This window comes from Homo sapiens, chromosome 7, assembly GCF_000001405.40.
Source record: "Homo sapiens chromosome 7, GRCh38.p14 Primary Assembly".
NCBI classification, from domain to species: domain Eukaryota; kingdom Metazoa; phylum Chordata; class Mammalia; order Primates; family Hominidae; genus Homo; species Homo sapiens.
The window spans coordinates 18828162-18843944 of NC_000007.14; the positions used below are offsets into that span (position 1 = coordinate 18828162).

Here is a 15783-nt window from a genome sequence, read left to right on the forward strand (position 1 = left end):
TCTCAATATTTTTATATATGCAGTAAAAGTTTTGAAAAAAAGTCTTTGGGGTAGGTTGAAATTATTTCAAAAGTTTTAGGATTGTGTATAAAACAGCATTAACATGCTCTTTTGAGCATGTTACTTGAACCATAGTTGAGTGAAAGGTGGTGTGAACCATGTGATAAATGATTACTTCACGTCAAACAACCCAACTTTTCTGAGCATGCTGGCTTTGCAAGGATTTATAGTTCCCTGCCTTCATGCCGGAGTTACTTCAGCTTTCCGTGATGCATTCCAACTAATCTGGAGGTTAAGGCATTTCTTGATCATGGATAGATCTGCTTGCTTCTCAGCCCTGGAATTCTTTATAAAATTCCAGAATGCAGGCTAGAAATTGACTTAGGGAATCCAATAAAGTTGCAAGTCTTGGCGGTCATCCAAGCTAAATTTATAGACTGGAAGAAATATGGGCTTTCCATTGTTCTCTTTTTCACCTTTCTGGGATTTCTTTTGTGTCTATGTGAGTGTGTGAGTGTAAATTTATCATTTTACTGACATTGGAGTGTAAATAACCATCAAGGAGATCCAGTTAAAGAATTTTCACTTTGGATCTTCTCTGGTCTTTCCAAACTTTGACCCAAACCTGCACCAAGAGTGAATTTCTTCTCCCTCTGTAGGATGTTGATGTCATAAAATAAGGAGTTGTTCTTGAAAATGAATCATGCTAGTTTAACAGCTGACATGCATGTTTGCCAGCTAGCTGCACCTCCCCAAATCCTGCCCTTCCCCCGACTCGGAGCCTTCTTTTGGGACATGATCTGAGAAAATGTGATCACATGTGTTGTTTCTCTTCATTCTATGACTGGCAATGGGGGAACAAAAACAATCTCGGAAGCGTATGAGACTTCAGTTTTGTGTGTGTGTGCCTGAGGCACTGTTGTGCCTGGAGATCCAAGCAATCCCTCTCCTACCCTCTCCATTATATCTGACCATTGAAAACCTGTCTTGTTTTCACAGAATGGGTTTGCTGTTGTGAGGCCCCCTGGCCATCACGCTGAAGAATCCACAGCCATGTAAGTACCAGGGACTGTTGCCCATCTCCAAGCACCACGGTTCCTGGCGGTCACCTGCCCCGTGCATGTTTCTGAAGCCTCTAATTGTTAGCAGATGGACTGAAAAATCTTGCGAGGTACTCCCAGAAGCAGATTTATGGCTTCAGAGATCATATAGCATTTAAAAAAATGCTCTGAACATTATTTATAATGGTTTTCCTGGATGATTTGCTTTCTTATTTCTCTGTTCTTCTCTATTCCGCAGGGGGTTCTGCTTTTTTAATTCAGTTGCAATTACCGCCAAATACTTGAGAGACCAACTAAATATAAGCAAGATATTGATTGTAGATCTGGTATGTATTCCTGGCCAGAGCTGCATTTTCAGTGATTCTAGATAAAGGGGAGTGGATTTGTATTTCTCTGTTAGGTTGTCTTGCTTTTAGCACTTGCAAACAACTGAAGGGTGTGTTTTCCTTTGAATGTGGAAACTCATTAAACTCAGGATTGCAGTTCTGAAACCATAAACATTCACGTTTCACTTTCATGGTGTTAACTGCAATTTAATGAGAAGAAGGCGCAGATCAGGGCAACTTTTATGATCCTTAAATGAATTGATACTTCCACAGTTAAAATAACCCAACAGAACCTGAATTTACTTTTCCCTACAGAATATAGACTCAATAGTCAGATGTGCTGGAAAGAATGCTGTTGCTTTGGTAACCAATTGGCCACTTCCCCCTGGTTAGAAATCATGTTGCTTGTTGTGCAACAGTGGTATTATTAAAACAAGTCGGCATGTCACTCTTACTGAAAAGATCTCCAATCTCAGATGCCAGTTTGGGATGATTCTCTGCAGGAACCCTGAGTGACTGAAAGTTAGAGGCACTAGATTAGTCTTGTATTTTAACGTGATGCATTCTTACACAGTAAAGTTAGAATTTGTCTAACAAATGGTTTGTTTAAAAGCAGATGACACTTGGCATATTGTCCACAGTATATTCATGAATAATGAGCTGGAGATCTGGAGATCTGCCCCATACAAAAAGGACCAACCCAGGAAAGGGCGAAAGAGAAGTGAATGGTGATTTATGAGCCCCGTTTTCAGTTTGCCTCCAGTTCTCAAGGAGGTGTAATAGGTTGTCTGACAAAGCATAGACAGGAAATGAACCCTGGCATCCAAACCGAACCTGGTACATCTGCACTTAATTAATTTTTGCAGGTGATAAAAGATTTAAAGGCAAAATATGCTAAAGGTTTTTTTTTGAAGTGCAAGCCTTAATAGTCTAAATCTTGTTCATATCTGCACTCATAATTAAATCTTATTGGAAGTCACGGCCTCGCCCTCCAGCCTTCGAATCCAGTTAAGCAGGCACACCAAAGGGTTGAGAGAGCACAAACAAAGCCATGTGAAGAAATGCTTAGTTAAGTGAAAACGAAGATAAAAGAAATGGAAGAACGATACCCATTTGTTGTGCTTCGTTGCAATGGGTATTTTTCACACACTATATTGAAGCATTCCTGCAAGCACTTTGGAGAGAAGAGTATTGAAACCTAACTATCCATGTATTTTCCATACACGCCTGAGTCTCAATGTCAGGCATAGCTCACCGTTAAAGAAATGTGTTGAAGGCCTAGATATACTACAGCAGCAAGATGTTACAATTTTACAAAAATCAAGACATCAGTACCCATTTTCTCATTTATATGCAAAATGACAGCTAAAGTAATTAATAATTGCTGTTCTGCATAATTTGTAAGATATTAAAACTTTAAAAATAGTATGCTCCTCTTTCTGTAAGTTCTATGCCAGGGAGATAAGCCAGAAACTTAAGAAAAGCAGATAAAGAGCAAAGATTGTAGGGAAAGAATTTTTCTAAGCTTTCTCAATTTGTCAAAATTATGTAAGAAGGTGATTGGTCAACAGTTTGTCCTATCCTTAGGGATCTTTTAGTGTTTACTTTCTAAAGAATCTTCTCTGCTACCATTTTAAGGTTCTAGGAGGATAGTCAAAAACTGTTAGGAGTCCCCTTTGAAAACACATTTGTGATATCTAGACTCAAAAGTAGTGAATTGTACAAGAGACTTGAAAGCTAAAATGCCTCCCTTGTGATAAATGGATACTTTGTATTTCAGAGGATGTATATGTAAAGTTTTGTTTTTGTACAGTAATACAGTATAGGAATAAAAGACTGCTGGAAAAATCTGATACGATTTATAAAATAAGTTACTTGGTAGCTCCAAGGAGTTTCCTGTAAGCTTCCTGGCCTTTGATTATGTATTTGCTCCATTATCCAATCAGAAAGGATACTGATTTCCCAACAGGCTGTAGTAGACGAGAAGTTTTTGTTTCAAATTATCTAAATATATGGAGTTCTGTCCAAAGGGTTGCCTCTGAGATCACCACCAGCCCACATATTCTTACTTTCAAGTCTTCCAAATTCTGCAGCTGCAGGGCTACTTTGAGGAAATTCCTGTTTCTTCCAGCTGCTGAGAAGGAAGTTTTAAGGTGCCACGTGGCCTTGAGACATCCGTTCTCCCTGGCTGACAGGTCTATTCTGCAAGTTAGCAATGAAAAAGCCAATAGATGGCTTTTCCGTAGCCAAAAAAAAAACAACAAAAAGTTATTCCTGCAAATCCAAAGTCATTAATGTTAGCTGGGGGGTGTGAACTAACTCCACAAATTACAGCGCCAATAGATGGCAAAGGTACTCCTTTGTCCAGCAGTTTCAGCATTTTTATATGTTTAGTAAATGCAGAGCTAGAGTTCTAATTTGCCTACTACTTTGGGTCACAGCCAAATTCAGCAGCGTTGAGTATTTTAGGCAAGAATGATTCTAGTTGATCTGTGGAGCTCATTTATTCCATGTTCCTTTCTGAGGCAGATCCCAAACATATTCAGACTAGTGTGGACAGGGAGCAGGTGTACTTGCTTTTCAACTTGCAAGAGACTGACCATTGTGTTTAGGGGATTAACTTGTCCTACAAGTAAGACTGTATGACTCAGGTAGCTTTTAGGTAATGTGACTTTTATTTTGACAATAGTACTTTTTAAGCTGTCTTTGTAAAAGGAAAGTTAATTCAAATGTCCTTAGATTTTGGGAAATTGCGTTGTTGATCAAGTACATTTAGATCTTTATTACAAGTCCCTATACTGAGTAACTAGGAGTGATAACATTAGCTGCTAGAATATATGATTTATTCAAGGTTACTCAAAGTTATTTTAACATAATAGTGAAAATATACAGGTTCTAAATCCTTGTACAGCATCAATGTTTGCAGTATGCTTTTTAACCAGTAAAATATTTAAACAATTTTTCAGCATTTCCCCACATATCTTAGATACAAGGTCTATTTTGGGAGTTTTAATGTTTCATTTTATTTCATTTCTATAGTAATTTCTCACAATCACCAATAATTTTCTTATCTTAGTTTATTATATATGTGTTGCCATGAAGAAACAAGCTTTAGATCATACCTGACCAATCAGTACTTTGTATGAATATTTTACAGCAAGGAAAACAAACAAAAAAATGATATATATATATTTTTTTTTTCTTGAGACGGAGTTTCGCTCTTGTTGCCCAGGCTGGAGTGCAATGGCACGATCTCGGCTCACCGCAACCTCCACCTCCCGGGTTCAAGCGATTCTCCTGCCTCAGCCTCCCGAGTAGCTGGGATTACAGGCATGCGCCACCATACCCAGCTAATTTTTGTATTTTTAGTAGAGACGGGGTTTCTCCATGTAGGTCAGGCTGGTCTCGAATTCCCAACCTCAGGTGATCTGCCCACCTCGGCCTCCCAAAGTGCTGGGATTACAGGCATGAGTCACCATGCCCAGCCTTAAAAAAAATGATATTCTTAAGGCTATACTGTGAGTTGTTCCCCCAAACAAAAGACATAATTGAGTTTAACCTTTATCACTAAATATTTGGTGAATATGAATACAGAATCAAGAATTGCCCCATTAGAATGGATTTATGTATTTTAATAATAATGTCTGTTGAAAATCTTATTATGCTGTGAACAGGATTTTATTTCTTACTCAGAAATTTATGCACTAGTAAGTACCCAACAGATTTTTCAAGAACAAATAATTTTATATCTGAGAGAACATATCATTTTATATTTGACTGTTTTAAGTAAACATTTACAGTGTCCCCAGAGAAACAAAAGTAATCAAAGCAATATTTTTCTGCTGTTCAAATTGTGGATGCATTTATGCTCAAACCAAATGTGTCTTAGAACTGATTAAAATTACTATTGTATAGGGGAAATACAAATATCCCCTTAATGTTGTTTTTCAAAATATTTTATTTGTCCATTTTCTAGATATCCAGTAACAAACACAAAAGACATTGTGGCTTTAATTGTTTCACCCTTGTTTACATACAGGAAAATAGTTTTTTTGTCTCCTCCTTCCTTTCCTTGGGATATTCAGAAATCCAGGAATTGATATAATTTGACTAAGTTATTTTTTTTCCTGATGATGTATGTCTTTAGCTGAAACAACTTTCTGGGATGATGTGTATGTGCCCCAACATTATGATTTCTTAATTTTGGATATGTGTACCATTCAAAAAGGGAAAAGGATTATTGTATGTCTACACCGTGGATGGCAAGATCAATGCAGGTTTTCAGAATTCACCAAAAGAAGGCTATGATAGTGTCTAGTGAAGGAGTACTGGGCTGGAGATTGGCATGAAGACAGGTCATATAAGTCTCCTATGGAGCAATAATGACTGACAACCCACCTCACAGGTTTGCCAAGAGGATCAAACAGATTATGAATGTAAGTTTCAGTTAACTGTGTAATTGTTAAGAGTTTGGCCTTTGGAATAGGAAGTAGATTCAAGACCCAGTCTTGCAACTTATTTCCTGCATAGTCTTAGTAACTGAAACTCTCTGAGCCTCAGTTTACCTAATAATCCATACCAGATATTTATATAGTGCCTGACTTAAAAATTGTAGAAATCATTGTTGAAAATAGCATGATTCTATATCTTGCTAATATAAAGTAAGTATATAGTTACAAGTTTTAAAACTTTTAAATAACAGAACCGGAAACTATGTATGTTTAAAGTATAGCAGTAATATTCTATTGAATACAAATATATAAATTATCCACTTTTGGAGTGGCTCTTTTTTTTTTGGTCAGAAGATATTATGAAGCATATTAATTGAGGTGTTTTTTTTTTACACTTGAGGTCTTTCAGTGAAGACATTTAAAATAATGCTATTAGTTCTATTGACTTTTTCATTTCTTATATCAATTCTGGCACGTATCTGTATCATAAAACAGTGAGAAAAAAGAACTGTCAAGTTTTATATCAGGCTTTTTTTTTTTTTTTGAGTGGGAAAGAGGACTGGTGTAGGGAAAGGAGAAAAGAGCAGGAAGAAGGCTGTAAAGAAAGCTATGATATGATATTAAAATTAGGCAGATTGCACAAGATTGCATAAAACCCCATGCCATCTTTCTGCTTTGGCCCAAATGATTTAAGAGCTAATGAGCTCATGCTCCTGCGTCTTCGACTCTTGTGTTACCGTTTTATCAAAATGAAGTATGAAGTTTTTTTGCATCTGGCTTCTCTTTTGAAGTGATTCTAACTGCGGAGGGATTGCTAACTGAACTGAACGCTTCAAGAAAGCCAATTTATTCAGCTGGTTGCAAAGCCTTTGACCTTAATGGTGGGACTTGGCAAATCAATGCATACACGTATGTTTAGCGTTCTGTCAAGAATTGCGAAAATGCTCTGTAAGCCATAGATCCTTCTGCAAAATACTAGTTTGTAGTTTAGTTTAAACATTAGTCTTTTTTCAGAGGCCAATGAGGCTAGTTAATTAAGCCTGAGGGGTTATGAACTGTTGGCAGTTAATAAGTCATAAAATTCCTCCATAAAACAGGATGCAAGATTCCATCACTGAAGCAAAGAGTACAAAGAGCCGGTGTATAAATATCTAATTGTACCAAAGGACTGGGCTTTCTCAATGACTGCTCATCTGGAGTCTCCAGGGCATGCTCGCTGTGGTTTCCTGATTTTTAGAAGCCAGTTTAAAAAATGAGTGCATTAAAGGGTAATTTGCCTGAAAGTTCAGGAAGTAAAGGGGGTGGTGTGGAAGCAGGCTGAAAGGGAGAAAGAAAAGAGGAACGTAGTGAGAAGACAGAAAATGAGAAAGAAAGTGGTAGAAAGACAGGGAACTAGAAATCAGAAAGGTTGTCTCCACACAAAGTTAGACATGACTGTATTTGTCGTCTGTTTTCATTTCCCTGTAGGATGTTCACCATGGAAACGGTACCCAGCAGGCCTTTTATGCTGACCCCAGCATCCTGTACATTTCACTCCATCGCTATGATGAAGGGAACTTTTTCCCTGGCAGTGGAGCCCCAAATGAGGTTCGGTTTATTTCTTTAGAGCCCCACTTTTATTTGTATCTTTCAGGTAATTGCATTGCATGATTACCCCTAATTTTCTTGTCCTTTGCTGGTGTTTTAAATTACACGAGATTACTGAATTGTCCCATGGGACCAAGAACCAGTGCAGAACAAGTGCATAACCCAGAGCACTGTTTGTCAGGGAAGGTTGGGCTGATTTGATGTGTTGTTTGATGTTTATTTCAAGAGCTCCCATGTGCTTGTTTTCCTCTCTTCTTGCTTTCTTCCATTTGCTCTCTTCTCTGCCCACCGTGGTGTGTCTTTCTCTTCCCAGGTTGGAACAGGCCTTGGAGAAGGGTACAATATAAATATTGCCTGGACAGGTGGCCTTGATCCTCCCATGGGAGATGTTGAGTACCTTGAAGCATTCAGGTTGGTACTTCTTTCTCTCTGAAAGTGGCAAATTGGAAAATAAATGTCCATTGAAATAACACCAAATATGGAAGAGAAATGTAAATGTCTAATTAAGGTAAATTATCGCTCAAAGCCACATAAGAATATGTATAAGAAGAAAAGATCTATCAAGACCTGGTTTTGATTATACAGGTATATTGGCCAATGGCCCATTTTCCCCCTTCCCTCCCAAATAAGGAGGAAAAAATATTTTATTATTAAATAGTTCTCTCTGGAAAATTCTGCCTATTTTAACATATGATGTGGTTTTTACAGTAGACATTAGCATATTCATTGCCCTGAGAAGTCCTTCATTACCTATTTGATTTTGTTGAACAAGCATTTCTCAAACTTCATTGGACTACAGAATCCCTTTTTTACATAGCACCATTTAGCATTCCTAGTTCTGGGGAGCTCACTCATTTTCATGACATTGGCCAAGGCAATCTCATTTGATGGTAGGGTAAATGACTTTTGTATAGTTTTCCTTTCACATGAAAACATTAACTAATTAATTGGTTGCTTCCATTTTCTCTGGAACAAAATCTACAAAATGTAACATTAAGTACAGTGTATTCACATAGCATTCTGCTTTTGTCTAAGCAAATAACTAAATATTAATATAAATAAGAAAAAGCAAATCAAAGGCTTCTCTTTGAGAGAATTTTAAAAATGAGCATTTCTTCTCTGGAATTAAGAAAATATTAGTTTGTAGTTTAAACGTTAGTCTTTCTTCAGAAGCCAGTGAGTCTAGTTAATTCAACCTGAGGAGCCTCCCTTGCAAGATTTTTGGAAGAGGTTTTAGCCTATTGGTAATGCATAATTTCTCGAATTTTTTATTTAGTTGAAAGCAAAACAACCACATGAAAAAAACTTACATGTGTTCATAGTTTTGAAATTTGCCATTTATAAGTTCCCATGAAGAAAATCCTGTTGATACCCTATATTTGAAACTTGTGGAAATAATAGGGAAATTTTTTAATTAATGAAGTTTTGGTGGGTTTCTTTTGTCCTGTGTGTCATGCATACTTCGTTGTCTTATTTGAAGTTCATTTCTCATGAGAAAGCAGGTCCAGGAAAAATGATAGAAAAATAGCTATTTAAAAAATACATTTAAAATAAATATGTTTGGCTTGGCATTCAAGATACAAAGGAAAATTCTACCCACATTCTGGAATGTGTACTTTGGGAAAAAATATACACAAAGATATCCACAATGTTGTAGAAAAAAATGGCTGGAATAAAATTTTCTACCGTCAACTTGGGTTGATTGTGAAGATATTTTGCTTTAATTAGGAGCAAAATAAAAAATTATGTTAAAAAACAGAAGTTTTAATGTTATGAATTCTCTTTTTCAACATCACAAATACCATTACATTTGCAAATTTCACAAACATTATTAATATCTTGTAGGAACTTTAACAGGATAATAGACTTCAATATTATATCACATATGAATTTATTTGTCTGCCTCCCAAGTTAACCTGGTAACTTGCATGATACACATTAAATTCATGTTAAATACACATTAAATTCTCAACCTTACTATCTCATATAATCATATCCATTATCTTTGATGCAGAATTCATAGATTTTTTAAATTATCGTAATTCCATTTGGGGTACTATAGCTTTATATAAAAATAAATCATGTATGCACAGCAATGAAAGGCAACTTCTATTTTGTGCCTTTGTTTTCCCATCACAAAGTGAGCGGTGGATGAGATTTTTTTCTAAAGAACCTCTTTGAACACAACCATTCCATTACATAATGTAAACGCAGATATTAAGTGCACATATTGTTTTGTGATTTAAATGGTAAATGAATGAAGTACTCCTGAATGGGGTTGACGATTCTCAGAATGGCGCCTTCTCTTTGCCTGGAAGGTGGACACTTTATATTAGCAAACTTTTCTAAGCTTCCCAGTGTATCTCCATTACTTGAGTTTCATTAGAGAAGTGGCATTATCTAGCTAGGATGCAGAAATGTAAATTTCTGGCTTTCAATGTCCATATTTATTTAAGAACCAGATTTAATTCATAAGACTCCTGCCATTTTGAACTATGGCCTGTCTGCTATTCATCATTTATGACCAGAAGTACTTGTGAATTTGTTACGGCTAGGTCAAACAGGTAAGTCATTCATTTCAAAAACCATCATTGAACACATATTATATGCTGGGCACTGTGGTAAGCACTTGGAATTCAGAGCTGTTGTTACTTTCAGGGATCATAATATATGTCATACGTATTATTCTAGAGAACAGAAGCGCTCAGAGCAGATAAAATGATTAACTTGTCCTCAATGGTTTCAGGAAAGGTTTCATCAAGTATTGTTCAACCTGTGCTTCTAAAGATGAGTGGGAACTTTCAAGGGGAGAAGAGGAGTTGGAGTCGGGGGTATTCATACTGACTGGGCAGAGAGAGTGAACTGTGAAATGCATGGAGCCATGAAATGATCTTTCTGTATTGGCTCAAGGACATGAGGTGGGATTGGTAGAAAGAAAATGAATCATATTTTGTAAACTCTTATGCAGGCAAAGGATAGCCCATCTATATATGTATATACTCCTTTGTCAATTTGGGCTTAGTCAGATAGACTGCCAAATAATTTTTAATGTAGTATTATTTTCTAAGCTTATCCTTAATACACTTCTTGTTTCCTAGTATTGAACCAGAAGATCTTTCTGGCATCTGTGTGTGGGTGCAGGAAATGGAGGTGGGGGAAAGAGTAAATGGTGCCTTTTCTTTTCTCTTAGTTTTTAATTGTTTCTGGACTCTTACAAGTATCTTTTGAAGGAAAATCTCTCTCCCTGTGAAGCTACATTTATAGTGGGATGTAAGATCGCTGCTTATTTTACTAGCCAAAATTTGTCACATATATTGCCTTCATGGTTTCTATTATGTGCTTTTTCTATAGCAAAAAAATCATAGACAAACCAAAGATTTCACATTTACTGTAAGCTTTAAATAGAATTTAAAAAATATAATAGAATAACTAAATTATTTCAAATGACTAGTTATTTCTTCCAAGCAGTTATCATTCATCTCTGAAATAATTGAAGGGTATACTTAAGATTCTTCACGAGAATTCTTAAAATATTCAGTATCAAATATCTTTTATGTTCAACTAAAATATATTTCCGAGGTTACCATTGTATAAAATAATTATGACTATTTTTATTGGGGTCTTACATGCCAGGTCCTAGATTAGAAACTTTATAGACATTATGGCTAATTCTTAAGTGCTTTATATAAGTCACGGAACTACTAATTGGAAGGGCAGTAATTTGAACTTAGTTTGTGACTCTACAATCTATGCTCCTTTTCTCACACCACATTGCTACTCTCTTCTGTTTATGACTTAAAATACTCAGGAGTAATAAAGCACAGTGACTTTTTACCAAAGTGTAAGACCTTCATGCCCGCATAGCCTCCCAACCTAAGGCACAAATGCCTAGTGAACAACATGGCAGAGAAGAGCTATTCAATAATATTTGGTTGAATGAGTCAATGAATGAATGAATGAATGAATCAGAGAAGAAAGAGGGAATAATGTTGTCAATGGGAGCATTGTCAAGCTCAGGTATTAAGCGAACCTAGCAAAAGTCTGAGGGAACTACCTTGGCTTCTTAAAAACTATGCTCTACAAAGAACTCTGAACATCTATTCATTTTGTTATAAGAATGTCAGACTTGTCTTTATTGAACAAATCTTTTGCTGAATGCCTGCTAAGGAATCTCTGTTTCAATCATTTCAAAAGGATGTTCCAATGGTTTTATACTCTCTACAGTCCATTGATGAGGATTGGGCACATTATTTTTTCTAAAGACTAATTCTTTTAAGAGTACTGCAAATGTTAAAGTGATTATTTATGTCAGACCATTTAAGTGGTTTGTTTATAGTGGGCAAGAGACAATTATGAATCTCATGCTTCTGTTTAAATCTGAGAAAAATATCTTCAAATGTTTAAAAAATAAGTAGCAATTTCCAACGAATAAGATTTTATTTAGTAGTCCTTGAAATTATGCCTGTTTTATTAAATAAATAAACAAATGAGTGAATGGAGGACAATTCCTTTGTAGCCCCTTTTAATTTCAAGAAAAGAAATATAAGCCCCTTCAATTTAGCAGGTCTTAATGAAATAATTAAAGTGACCCATCTGGCATATACTGAGGACTAGCTAAAGAAAGGTCATAGAGCTCTTGATCTGGGTTCTTTAGATGCAAACAAGTTCTAATTTTAAATATCATCTTTTCATGTCAGTATGTTGTAGTATGTAGCTACCTTAATTAATATTTGTTGTTGATGCATATTTTCAATAGACAGTGAATCTGTACATATCAGCTCTTCAGGGAAGTTCATCTCAGGGGAAAACTCTGACCCAGAAGGACTCTCTTGCACTGAGGTTGTCAGTATGCCAACTGAAAAGGGGACTTTGAGAGAGTTGTCTAGTAGAGGTAGTGCACATTTAGTCAAAATTTTGGGGGTTATTATTGAAAACTACCTATTTTTATTTTATTGACTTATGTAGGTAGTATCTGTATTTAATCGAAATGCTATGTGCTTCTAAATTTAGGCATTACTAAAATATTTTGGACATATCATTAACTGGAATTTTTAGAAGCTTAATGTTTTTGCTATATAGTCAAAGCCATTGAACCATTTGAGCACATACAAGCAGCCCAGTGTCTATCTCTTTCTCCTGTCTTGAGTTCATATCTGTTTACTTTAATGACATAAGCAAAATTAAAGTCCATTAATGCAAAATTGTGATTGGAAATCTGTCCAGATATCCTGTCTATTCTTAGTTCACAGTCAAAGTGGCAATTCTGTTCCTGATGCTGAGTCTTTAATATAAGAATCATGGCTTCCGGGGATTCCTCCCCTGCTTGTGACAAAAATGTAGAAAGGGCATTTAACTCAAGTGCAGAATGAAATAAAACCTTTTATTGTCATATCCACACTGCAAGTGCTCCTTGGACAAGTCAATAATGGTCAGCCTAGAGATTTCTTAGAATGGTTGGGTTTACCTTGGAACTATAGTAGATAATTTGGGGCAGGGCACATAAATAAGTTAAATATATTTTTCTCTCATTCTTATTTTATAAAATATATCATCATTATTCTGGCTAATTCTTAGAAGATTAACTTCTAAATATTCTTGTTATATGTATAAACTGAAAAAGAGGTTTCTAAATTCTATTTAAGAGATAAAATGGGACCACAAGTAAATATTTGCATTCACTCTTTTGGTAATGACAATTAAGTAAATACTGTTTGGATTTTTTTTGTTCTTGTTCTTATTTTTAATATTTTAATATAATTTCATGATAAGTGAATGTAGAATAATACCATTGTAAAAACAACAATATAATAATAATAACACAGTAATATAGAGTATTCGTTGAGGCTTTAATTTTTGCTAGTTGTTCATTTTTTTAAAAAGCTTTTCAAGTCCTTGAGTTAGGTGCTTTTGTTTTCCACAGGCAGTTACCACGCTTCTTGAGCTTCGGTAGGTTTCCTGATGTCACACAGCTGGTATATGGTGATCAGGGCTTCTGAGGCAGCAAGTGTGATTTTGGAGACAGTACTTTGTTGGTCCCAAACCATACAGGAACTGTAGTCCCTGTGTCAAGAGTATGGGATAACAAAACAATCATATAGCGAAAAATTCTTTGCAATGCATTTTAGTCTATTTAACTTTGGCTTGGACATCTAAACTGGTAAGTGCCCCAAAATTGAAAATTTAGACTTTCACTACCCTTGATATCTCCAAGCCACTTCTCCTTGTGTCTTCTCCTCATCTGACATAGTAAGAGAGCCTATCAAATTAAACCCTTGGTTCTTTTTTTCCTTTTAATAACCGATCTAATTACAACGGGGATATAAATGTTTTCATCTTTGTTAAAAGAAATATTCTTCTTATGTATGCATTTAGATTTTGTGGAAAGGATATGTAATAGAACTTGAAAATACCAAATTAAATTTTAATAGAATATATAGTGAAAAATGAACATTTAGATTTAACTTTGAAATAAAGCATGATTTCGTTGTCATCTAAAAGTCATGCTTAACAATGTCAAATGATTTGGGATCTTAATTTGTCAATGAGAGCTGTGGTTGATGCTTCCCAGTCTTGCAATGGATTCTCAATTGTTAGTGACAAGTAAATATATTAAGCTCATGATATCATGTATTTTCCCAAGGATGTTGAAGACAGTTTGAGAAAGAGGGTGGAGTTTCTTGAAACAATTTGCCAATATGAAATACTGTACATATCAAATTGGCCCTACTACCATCTTTCCCAGACCATTTATCATACCTCACAAATCCAGCCCACATTTTCTCTTTCTGAAAGACTTGACTAATAAAGAAGATGTGGGCTTCAATCTGAACTTGTCAATCAATCTTAGTAACAAAGCAGTAATGATTTTCATCTATTAATGATTTATTTCAATAAAAAGCAATACATATGAATTTATTGCTAGTGTGAACCACAATTATTCACTGTCCAGATTCCATTCTCTATTTTCCGTATGTTGAGATGTTTCAAAAAGTTTTATCAAAGCGGGTCACAAGAAAAAAAATCCATAGGAATAAATTTGAGAAAGCTGTCAGCTCTATCTGCTTTTCAGCTTCAAAAATAAATATAGTTTAAGGACATTTTTTCTCTCATCTGTTCAACATATTGTACCAATTTTCATCAAAAAATTACAATTTCTAGGTGTGTGTCTCTAGATACCCTTAGAATTTCTGCTCTTTGACCCTGAGAGTAAATTGATCTTATGCACACCTGTCTTCCTAGGGAAACTTGCAAACTTGATTTTTGAGCCAAGCATCAAAGAGATATGATATTATTAGACAGTATAGAGCTCAGGTAAAAAGTCCAGGAAGTATCTTGAAGTACTTGAAGTTTTGAAAGGGAAGTGATATCTGCAGTGAAGAGCTATTTAAAGTAGATCAAATGCTACAACTTACTTCTTCTTATTGTTTTTAAAAGGTCGGATCAGCTATAAAAATTTTAAGACAATATTTTTTCTCTGCCTTAAAATGGTTCTAAAGCCAAAAATTTTCTGGAATCTGTATAGCAATTAAACAATTTTCCAAATAATGGGGACTAATTAAAAGGATATCTATGTTTAATTCTTTTCTCTAGAAGTTCTTTCTAAGAAAAAGGTAATTTGTATGCCTAGAAGTGATTTGTTTTTGTTTTGCAGATGAAACACTGAATTATATAACCCTTGCCTGCACAAAATCCTCTCAATGTATGTGTAATACTTTGAAATATCAGGAAATGAAATCTTTTTATGAAATATTATTGTGGAGCATTTTAAGGCCAGAAATAGCAGACATTTTGGACTGTCAAGGAGCTTACGTCAATTCATTGACTTAAATAACCTAATCTAGTAATAGTGGAATTGTCGTGTAGTTAATGCTGATATGAGATGGCCAGAATGGAAGGTAAACATAATTAATAAATTATAGAGTCACACTTTTCTTCATAGTTCTAGTGAATATTTTAGAATTTGCTTCATTTACTGGTAAGATAAAGCTCTCGCTCAATTAAAAGTTACTTATCCTTTACTTCATTGAACAGCTGTTTTTCAACCAAATTTCAATGTCTTTGGGTCATAGAGTGAATTTTTTTTTTTGAAACTGAGCAATTACCCTCTTTTTCTATGATTTTACATCTAAAGTTTACTACTACTAGACTTATTGAGATGACAAATAATGTGGAAAAAAGAGATTGAATGTTTGTTTTAATATACTGTAAATATAAATTTGTAGTCCCTTTTTTGAGAGCTAGATAAATATAATGGCTTACTAGTATTAAAATTTACATATTGACTTTCCCACGTGGAGGAATCATACTCGTGAAAACTTTGCTCAACTGAAGGTCTGTTCAGATATTACATCTGAGATG

At 35.2% G+C, this 15783-nt stretch overlaps 1 protein-coding gene across 6 annotated transcripts in view, besides 4 other annotated features; it reads left to right on the forward strand.

Moving 5' to 3' along the window:
- The window catches only part of HDAC9 (histone deacetylase 9), a 915592-nt gene that overhangs the window by 741337 nt on the left and 158472 nt on the right, over positions 1-15783 (forward strand). For all 6 annotated transcript variants that reach the window (NM_001321868.2, NM_178425.4, NM_001321877.2 and 3 more), the window contains 4 exons: positions 1000-1055; positions 1300-1387; positions 7306-7425; positions 7739-7836. In NM_001321868.2, the coding sequence (NP_001308797.1) occupies positions 1000-1055; positions 1300-1387; positions 7306-7425; positions 7739-7836 (362 nt within the window). The remainder of the gene's footprint in view (positions 1-999; positions 1056-1299; positions 1388-7305; positions 7426-7738; positions 7837-15783) is intronic.
- Positions 932-2621: an enhancer, noted in NCBI's record as "VISTA enhancer hs2306 and eExon 18 fragment used in the reporter transgenes". NCBI's record gives its function as "enhancer in: limb[4/4]; activates a Hsp68 promoter in the anterior limb bud of transgenic mice {active_cell/tissue: limb}" and the evidence as "EXISTENCE:transgenic organism evidence [ECO:0001131][PMID:17130149, PMID:22442009]".
- Positions 6488-7585: an enhancer, noted in NCBI's record as "VISTA enhancer hs2307 and eExon 19 fragment used in the reporter transgenes". NCBI's record gives its function as "enhancer in: limb[2/2] | branchial arch[2/2]; activates a Hsp68 promoter in the posterior limb bud of transgenic mice, and also activates a minimal E1b promoter in pectoral fin and branchial arch of transgenic zebrafish {active_cell/tissue: branchial arch | fin | limb}" and the evidence as "EXISTENCE:transgenic organism evidence [ECO:0001131][PMID:17130149, PMID:22442009]".
- Positions 6765-7257: an enhancer, noted in NCBI's record as "eExon 19 proximal 5' intron subfragment used in the reporter transgene". NCBI's record gives its function as "moderately activates a minimal E1b promoter in branchial arch of transgenic zebrafish, with weaker activation in pectoral fin; shows higher activity in combination with the exon and distal 5' intron subfragments {active_cell/tissue: branchial arch | fin}" and the evidence as "EXISTENCE:transgenic organism evidence [ECO:0001131][PMID:22442009]".
- Positions 7235-7585: an enhancer, noted in NCBI's record as "eExon 19 exon subfragment used in the reporter transgene". NCBI's record gives its function as "moderately activates a minimal E1b promoter in branchial arch of transgenic zebrafish, with weaker activation in pectoral fin; shows higher activity in combination with the proximal 5' and distal 5' intron subfragments {active_cell/tissue: branchial arch | fin}" and the evidence as "EXISTENCE:transgenic organism evidence [ECO:0001131][PMID:22442009]".